This window comes from Homo sapiens, chromosome 11 (assembly GCF_000001405.40).
Source record: "Homo sapiens chromosome 11, GRCh38.p14 Primary Assembly".
Lineage (NCBI taxonomy): Eukaryota > Metazoa > Chordata > Mammalia > Primates > Hominidae > Homo > Homo sapiens.
The window spans coordinates 85,683,161-85,692,418 of NC_000011.10; the positions used below are offsets into that span (position 1 = coordinate 85,683,161).

A 9,258-nucleotide genomic window follows, 5' to 3' on the forward strand; every position below is an offset into this window, starting at 1 on the left:
AATATATCTCTATGCTTTCTACTTGATGCTGTCTCAACCCCATCACCCTTTTCTCCACCTGAGGAAATTAATCATCCCTAGGAGTCCTCCCCGCCAACCCAACCCTTACCACCAGGCAGGGCTAGATGCTGCCTATGTTTTCCCTCTGTGATCACAGTATATAATAACAATAATAATAATAATAATAATTATTATTATTATTTTTGCCCTTAGACTGTATGGGGGCTCTTCCAGGGCAGTAAAAATGCTTCTTTATGCTTCTTCTTAGTGCCTACCCCAGCACCTGGCACTTGGTCGCCAAAAATTATCTTTCAGTGTGCTGTAGTCATCAAAATCCAGCTCCCCCAGTGACCAACTGGCCTTAAGCAAAATTACCAAAACCAGTCTCCTCTTCCTTAAAATAGAAATGAACACGCTTTCCTTCTTGAATAGTCCTAAGAATTAAATAAAGTAATTCATCCAAATTGCTTCAGCGCAATGATAAATAGTATGGGCTCAATAAAGGATATCCATGATTAACTTAGCTCCTATATTCTGATTCTTGGTAACCTGTAGAAGGAAGTAAATAGTCCTTTGAAGCTAGCAGTGTGGTTTCTATTTTGATGAGAAAAGTTTGTATTTAATAGCATAATCTTAATAGAAGTGTGAAAAAATGGGTGTAAAAAATTACCTGAGGCAAGGTAACACTTGCTTGGAAATGGTTTTACTAAAAAGGCACCAAGTCATATTTTTTAAGTAAATTCATTATGTAACTTGGTAGCCTTCAGCAAAATGGGTGAGAAAAATATTACATTACAATCTATTTTGAGAGGTATTCATAATAATGTTTATATATCAATACCTAATTACAGGAAGATAAGAAAATATAACTACCTTTGAGAACTTTTTTAAGAACTTTACATATATATATATCATGTTTTTATAACTATTCTTACAAAATGTAGGTATTACTACAAAAATGCTGCAAGCATACATACACACGTTCAGCTTAGATTTTTTTAAAAAAGGAAAATCTTAATTACAAAAAATATGCTAATAGAAACAAAACAATTTCTGAGTTACTCTATAGATCACGTCTGCTATGATTTGTTACCCCAAATTGTCTAATTGTCTATTAGCATATCGTGCAATATTAAATTAAGCTACTGATATTTGCATTATTGCACATCTAAATCCTCTTTTTAAAGAGAAAACCAAAAAATGGAATATTATCTAAGCTTGCAGAAAAAATAAAAGTTGTTTTGTATAACTTATTTGAATCATATTGCTCATACAGAATAAAATTGACCTTCTTTGTTAAAGAACTTGATCTCAATCATTTTCCAAGCTAGCGCAAAATAAAATAAAGTCAGACACTTTTTTTTTTCTGCAAAGCATTCATGCTATTATGCTGATACATGTTTGCTTACAATCTCAACTATGGGAGACTATAAGCCTAACTATCTACAGTGGGTAATTGTGCTAATTATTTTTCACAATGGCACATCTCACTGCACTTAGATTGACTTAAATCATAGAAGCTGCTAATTTAAAATCCTAACATAAATGAAGATATCTGAGGTTGAGAATTAATAACTTATGGGTAGGAGAAGATACTACTAGTAAATTTAAGATTTCTAAGGCACAGAAGGAAATCTGGCAAATCTTGTGTATTCTAGGTGTAGAAATGAAAATTAATAATGGCTTTACAATAATAACAACAATATCATAGTAAAGTAGCTTTTCTTTGAGTTGCCTTTTGTGCTTGAAAGTATAATAAATGGGATATCATCTTTACTCTTGCCATAATGCTAAGACGCAAATATTTGAATTCTGAATTGCAGGCCAGAGGAAGCAGAAACTTCCCTATGGAGAGAGATGGCGGAGTTTGCCATTGAGTTCTCTCTCCTTGCTTAAAAGATCCAAGCTGTGCTTTTTGAAGGCTTCAGACTGCAGCCTGAGTTCATCGTAGGCCTTCTGGATCCCATCTACTTTGCGCTGAAGCTCCCTGACTCTCAAGTTGCTGTCCACAGCCACTGCCTCTTGCTCAAACCGCTCCAGCGCATGCTTCCTGTCTTCATTTGCTATCTCCAACTTTTCCTCAAGCTGGCAGATCTCTGCCTGTTTGTTCTGAAGCACTTTGCCCCTTTCAATGGACAGCTGCAGCAACTCCTCTTTCTCTCTAGTGACGGTCTGCAGCCTGGCCTGCAGCTCCTGGCTCAGGCTGCTGTGTGTCTCCTCTGCCTTAGCTATCTGCTCCACAGCCTGCTGGTGCTGCTGCTTGAGGGTCTGCAGCTGGCTGCGCAGCTGTTCTGTCTCCTTGGTGTGGGTGCAGGCCTGCTGGCTCTGTAGCTCCAGCAGCTCCTTCTCGCGCGCCTGTGCCTGGCAGGCATCCTGAGCACACCTCTCCTTCAGCGTTTCTAGCTCCCCAGTGAGGGCCTCACACCGGACTGTGAGCTGTAATACTTTCGCCTCCTCATCCTTCAGAGCCTGGCTGAAGAGGCTGCTATTCTCCAGCCTCAGCTTCTCATTCTCCTCCCTCAGCTTGATGTTCTCACTCTTGTATTCATCCTTGAAGCGGAGCATCAACTCGTGGTTGGCTGCTAGGGTCATAAAGCGTTCCTCTAGTTTCCGACTGTACTCACCCTGGGCCTTGAGCTTCTCAGCCTCCTGCATCATCTTCTCCTCCAGCTCTGCATTGAGCAGCTCTAGGATCTGGCAGCGCTCCAGGGCCTCATCTGACCTCCGCTTCAGGATGCAGATGAGCTGGGACTGCTCTTCAATGCGGGAGCGAAGCATAGCCTTCTCGCTCCTCTCCTCCTCTGACAGTCCCCGGAGGTTTGCCAAGGCTTCCCTCAGACCGTCCAGTTCCTTAAACTCCGTCTCCTCTTCCTGGTTGTTCAGTTTTTCATTTTGCTTCTCTAAGCGTTCTTCAGGGGGCGGGGTGTCCATCCTGGGAGCCTGCTGTTTCTGGAGCATAGGCGCTCTCATCCACTAAGGGCTGACTACAGTCTTTTCCCCTCAGATTTCAAACGCTGCAGGGTGTTGCTAGGGACTCTTGGCACTCCCCAGCAGTTGGTTTTTCCAGTAAGGAGCCCTGTAATTGGTGGACAGGTCTTCAGAATGCTATGAAGTAACAACAGGGGAATCTGGGGGAGTCCAGAGCCAATCTGGTCGGGTTACTTTTGCCTTTCTAACCAATCACAGCTCTCAGTTGTCAACTGTCTCAGTGTCTGGCCTGTACAGCACAGAGATGCCAACCCCACTCAATCTCCAGCCAGCATCAGGGGAGGAAGCCTGACTCCACCTAATTTCTGGTAGTAGTAAACAAATGAAGCAGGCAATGATATATTTATCCTCCCTCTCCCCTCTTCAGTTATCGTTTGAATAAATTACTGTTTGTGGAAACATGGTTGGCTCCTCAAAAAATTTCAGTCTATGAATACAAAGTAGTAGTGGTATTCTGAGAGCCAGGACCCTAAAAGCCTGCATATCTGCACCCGTGATGTTTGGCACAGCTCCCTTTTGGTATTTAAGTATTAAAATAGAAAACACCAGTGAAATTTCTTTTGTTGTTCTTAGCATTGTCCCCACCTGGGCATAAATACTCTTTATTAGATATTTAACACCCCCTGTTTTTACCCATTAGCAAAATAAGGTTACAGAAAGAAGCTTAGTGAACCACACAGATAAACATTAAAACAGAAAAAATAAGATTCAAATGAAGCTTGCCATTATATGCCAAAGTCAACTCCTGATAGATTAGTTAAATGTAAACAGAAACTAGAAGAAAATGAAGGTAAACATCAAATCTCTGGGGCTAGGAAGGATTTTTTTTTTATCTTAAACATTATGTAAGATCAGAAAGGGAAAGCTTACTCAAAAAGTTATGTATAATTTTTTAAATTATGTGACTTCTGAGGTCTCTCCAGCCCCTTCTTCCACTGGATTTTCTTGACATTTTACTCCTCAAACCCAAATATTGAAGCCAAACCCAAATCCACTAACCAGCTCTCTCGCCCTATCTTTAGGTGTTCCTCTACTTGGAATGCCTTTCCTACTTTGTCCCTTGTCACTCTAGTAAAGCTTTTTATTCTTAGTTAAGAATCGTCTCTGAAGCCTATTCCTGGCCCCTACATGTCCAATTGGTCACTCACATCTTTTAGTGCATCCGCTATAGCTATTTGTACTTCTGGTGGAGGATGTGAAAATTTTATTGCAGTCACTGTTTATCTGCCAGCTTCCCTCTGTTAGACTGTAAGATCCTTAAGGGCAGGGACTGTGTCTATTTCATCCTTGATGATTAGACTAGTGCCTGGCACATGGGGGAGATTCAGATAAATGTGTATTAAGTGGATGTTGAAGGTAAAAATCAAATTGAGAAAAATATCCCTAATATGACAGACACTACTTTTTTTTTTTTTTTTTTTTTTTTTTTGAGACAGAGTCTCCCTCCATCGCCCAGGCTGGAGTGCAGTGGTACGATCTCGATTCACTGCAACCTCCGCCTCCCGGGCTCAAGCAATTCTCCTGCCTCAGTCTCCTGAGTAGCTGGGATTACAATTACATACAACCACACCTGGCTAATTTTTGTATTTTTAGTAGAGACGGAGTTTAACCATGTTGGTCAAGCTGGTCTTGAACTCCTGACCTTAAATGATCCACCCGCCTCAGCCTCCCAAAGTGCTGAGATTACAGGCATGAGCCATCGCACCCAGCCCAGACACTACCTTTTTTAAATAAATATTTTATACATATCAACGAAACATTAACATCTAAAAAATAAACAATTAAATTCACAAAAATGGCCAAGAACTGAACGTCTACAGTGATCCAATAAATACAAGTTAAAATTAGACATAATTTCGGCCGGGTGTGGTGGCTCACGCCTGTAATCCCAGCACTTTGGGAGGCCGAGGCAGGCGGATCACGAGGTCAGGACATTGAGACCATCCTGGCTAACACGGTGAAACTCCGTCTCTACCAAAAAAATACAAAAAATTAGCCAGGCGTGGTGGCAGGCGCCTGTAGTCCCAGCTACTCAGGAGGCTGAGGCAGGACAATGGCGTGAACCCGGGAGGCGGAGCTTGCAGTGAGCCGAGATCGCGCCACTGCACTCCAGCCTGGGCAACAAAGCGAGACTCCGTCTCAAAAAAAAAAAAAAAAAAAAAAAGATATAATTTCACGTATCAAATTAGTCAAAAAATTTTCTCTTAAGACAAGCCAGGACTAGAAAGGAGTATTGAAATAGGCACTCTCTTAAACTGTTGGTGAAAGTCAGTTGACAGTAGGTACTGAGAAATTAAGATATTTTTATGGCTTCCGAACTAGTAATTCTTCTGCGGAGATCTTTGCTTAGGAAATAATCTGAAAGAAAACATTTTGCTCAAAACTTTTCATTGTAGTGTGGTTTGTAACAACTAAAAGTTGGAAACCCAAGTTTTCAAAAAAAAAAGGGAATGGTTACAAAAATTATGATATATTCATACAAAAAATATTGTACAGCCACTAGAACTTATTACATTTATAGGTAATTTTTAATAGCATGGAAAAGTCTTATGTTAGAAATACAACTGAAAAAGGCAAAATACAAAACTTAAAATTCAGATGATTTCAATCCTGTGAAAATTAAGGGTAGGGAAAAGAGTTGACTATTCTTGTGGTCACAGTTTCTGGTGATCAGATTTACTATCTCCCAAGTCATGATGATAAGGAAAAACCCTGGGTGTCATTATAGATATGAGATGAATTTTTAAATGCTTCAGATTTCACTGGGAGCGAAACAAATCTGAAAGAAGAGTTTCAGGTTCTTCCCTCACTGTCAAAGATCAAGGTCTCATGTTTCAAATCCTGAATTTCTTGTCTATATATGGAAACCAAGATTGAAGACTGGGGAAATTTCCTAAGCTGAAATTTTAACAACTACATAAACAGTAGGATATTGAAGTTTTGTGAAAGTGAATTCCAAAGACTTTAAAAATGTGAATTAAACTTATTTGTAATTTTCCCACATTTCTCTTGTCCTTTTCCTTAAATTTCAAGCTTCATATGCGTAAATGGAGTTCGTCTAGTTATTTTCAAGGCAAATGACTAGAAAATTAGAATGGTCCTCTTAAATAAAAGGGTCTTACAAACATTGAAAATTTTATTTGTTGATTATATGGTTGTCTGATATCATAAAGTGAATTCACAAAATATATTTCCTGAAAGGAGGAAAAGAATTCAGAAAAATACGGAAAAAAGATACATACACATTTGTTTTTTTACCAGTCAGGGTCTCTGTTGCCCAAGCTGGAGTGCAGTAGTGTCATCATAGCTCACTGCAGTCTTGAATTCCTGGGCTCAAGCAATCTTCCTGCCTCAGCCTCCCAAGCAGCTAGGACTACAGGCATGTACCACCATGTTCAGCTAAATTTTCCACATTTGAAAAAGCTTATATTTCTTTTTTGCAAATATATTTTAATACACATTTCTATTAAATTTATATTTACATTATTTAAAATAACACACATCTATAGATTACTTATCAAGACCAAGAATCTGATAAGATCCTAATCAATATTCATTCATTTATTCAGTAAACATTTGCAAGGTTATTTGCAATGCTAGGTGCTAAGAATATATTAATAAAATAAATACGATCACTGTCCTCAAATAACTTAGTTTAGTAATCACTTTGGTTCCTTTCTGCCGTGGTTGTCTTCTTTGCTCAATCATTTTTTTTCTAGCTCCCCTCCTAAAAGTATCCCATATATTCCCTTCCCAGAGATCCAAGGTGACCAATTCTCTCCCTTGTGGTGATCAATGAGTCGTCTCCACTTATCTTTAAGTCTTTCCATGCCTCCCTCCCTTTTAAAGCTACCATTTACAGAGCTCTTCTAGGTAGTGGGCATTTATTTGTACATCTCTCACTTAATTCTAATGATATTCTTGAAGGGTAGGCATTATTATCCACATTTTATCAATTACAGGTAACAAAGACACCAAGGTTGAGAGAGGTTAAGCAAATTATGCCACCCAGAGAATAAGTGATAGAGCGAGAATTCAAATCTAGATCTTTTTGATACCAAAGCCCATGATCTTAGATCACATTTCATTTGTCCATTTGATCATTCATTCATTCATCTCACATAGACTGAGAAACTATTATATCCAAGAATGAAGTCCCAACTCTCAGGATGATTACAGTTTAGTGATAGACACAGATAAATGGATAACAATAATTCAGTGTGAACACTGCTAAAGTAATCATAGATAAATTAGACATCACTCTTTTCAAAGATACAGTGGTAAACACTGGGTGTTACTGAAGGCACAAAGAAGGGATACAAAACCAGTCTTGGATGGAAGGGGCATATTAGTCAAGATTGTTTTAATAGAAACCCAATTCAATTTAGCTAAGCAAGTGGAAATATATTGGCTCACAGAAAGTGCACAGCGGGAGCTCATAGAGTCAAAGCAGGAGAGGCAGGAACTAGGTAGAACCTCAAGAACCAAAACTGCAGATGCAAAGCCACACACAAGGACTCTTTATTTCTCCATCTATTTCTCATTTCTATTGTAGACAGGGTGGATGTGTGATTTTCTCCAGCCACAGTTTGCACCAAGGACAGGGTAGTTCCACTGAATTTATGTGGGGATGGGAACTGTAATAGTGCTGGTGAGTGGGTATTCAATGGAAAAAAAAGAAAGCAAAAATTTTGAGGCTAGTGGCAAGAGAGTGGTTGACTGGATAGAGGAGTGATAGTGGGAGGTGACTGATAGGGGTTTGAGGGATGGTGTCCACAATGACTTTTAAAAATAATATTACAGAATAATGAACTGAAAGCTGAGAGCATAGGAGATTTTGGTCAGAGTGGGATGTTTACATTTAATGCTTCAAAGGTGGAACTTCTCAGTTACAAGGAAGTTCATGGATTTGTGTGGCTGAAAAGGAACAGAGGTTAAGGATATTCAAATTGAGGAGGTCAAGGAACTAAGAAGCCAGGGTGTCTGATGAACATTCATATGCTGTGGAGCCAGGGGCCAGGGTCATCAATGAATGAGTTGAGAAGGATGGTAGAGGACAAGAATGAGTGGAAGGAATAATCATAATAGCAAACATTTACAGAATGCTATCTGTCAAAAGTGAGCACTATATTGATTCATTTATTTTCACCTATAGAGTAGGCACAATGTCGCCCCTTTCTTTCTTTCTTTCTTTCTTTTTTTCTTTTACAGATGAGACACAAAGAAGTTAGATAACTTGTCCAAGGTCACACAGCTACTAAGTGGTTTAACTGAGATTCAAATCCAAGCTACCTGTTTCTGGAGGTCACTTAACCATTACACTGTACTCCCTTCCTGATACAACTGGACAACACACATCCTTAGAAACATTTACAGGAAAAGAGAGGAGCAATGATCTGAAATCTGATCCCATATCCTGATTGAGGTACTGGGTGTGAGAGTGAGCTTTCTTTTTGTAAGGCTGAAGGAGAACCAGTTCTTTTGGAAAAAGCCAGCCAAAGAAATAGAGGGAATATATTGTCTGTGATTGAATCAAGTATGTGGGGACTTTTTTTTTTATAAAACAAACTAGTGAATAAGCCTGGGAGAGAGTGAAGATGAGAGTAGATGAGAGACCAATCCCAAAGCAGAATGGGAATGAAAGTACAGTGGTAAGAGATATTTGGGGCTTTTTACTTGTATAGTGAGTATGGATGCCAGGGATCTGCAAAGATGTCTAAGCAAGTTCCCTGGAAAATACAGCTGAGGAGAAGGGTGGTAGGCATCTCTCTGAAAGAAGCTAGCCTAGCCTAACAGTAACCATGCTTTGGGTGGACTGCTGGACCATGTGAGAAGTCCATGGAGTTCCCAGGATCCTCACCACCCACTTAGAAGCTAGAGTAGTCAGGGTAAATGGAAGAATTTAGGCCTCTCTGAAAAGAGTCAGCAGTGACCCTTAGAAATTTTACTTCTTTTTAAAAATAATGGTATTTTGAAATATTTTCACTTGAGGTAGAAACAAATTGCATGTATACCTAGCTCTTGATTTCACCAGTGTCTATATAACATCCCATTCTTCTAATAATGAACCATTTTCCTTTGGCCACAGGGTGGGCACATTACCCAGGCTAGGTGAATCATATTACACCATCCACAGTGAATGGTCCAATAGGTGGGCATATGACACAGACCTGGCCAGTTTCCACCATAGGTCTCTCAAGCTGAACCTAGGAAAGAGAAGTGCTTTAGCTGAGAGGTTGTGATGTTGAACCTGGCTGAGGTGCTATTTCT

General features: G+C 39.6%; 1 protein-coding gene across 1 annotated transcript, besides 2 other annotated features; it reads right to left on the bottom strand.

The window, feature by feature from the left end:
- Positions 1–687: 687 nt before the first annotated feature.
- CCDC89 (coiled-coil domain containing 89) lies at positions 688–3,035 on the bottom strand. Its single transcript, NM_152723.3, has one exon. The coding sequence runs from the start codon at positions 2,968–2,970 to the stop codon at positions 1,846–1,848; it is 1,125 nt and encodes a 374-aa protein (NP_689936.1). The 5' UTR covers positions 2,971–3,035; the 3' UTR covers positions 688–1,845.
- Positions 1,830–2,331: an enhancer, noted in NCBI's record as "H3K4me1 hESC enhancer chr11:85396033-85396534 (GRCh37/hg19 assembly coordinates)". NCBI's record gives its function as "activates a minimal SCP1, AML or CMV promoter by ChIP-STARR-seq in naive H9 embryonic stem cells {active_cell/tissue: H9 hESC(naive)}" and the evidence as "EXISTENCE:reporter gene assay evidence [ECO:0000049][PMID:30033119]".
- Positions 2,332–2,831: an enhancer, noted in NCBI's record as "H3K4me1 hESC enhancer chr11:85396535-85397034 (GRCh37/hg19 assembly coordinates)". NCBI's record gives its function as "activates a minimal SCP1, AML or CMV promoter by ChIP-STARR-seq in naive H9 embryonic stem cells {active_cell/tissue: H9 hESC(naive)}" and the evidence as "EXISTENCE:reporter gene assay evidence [ECO:0000049][PMID:30033119]".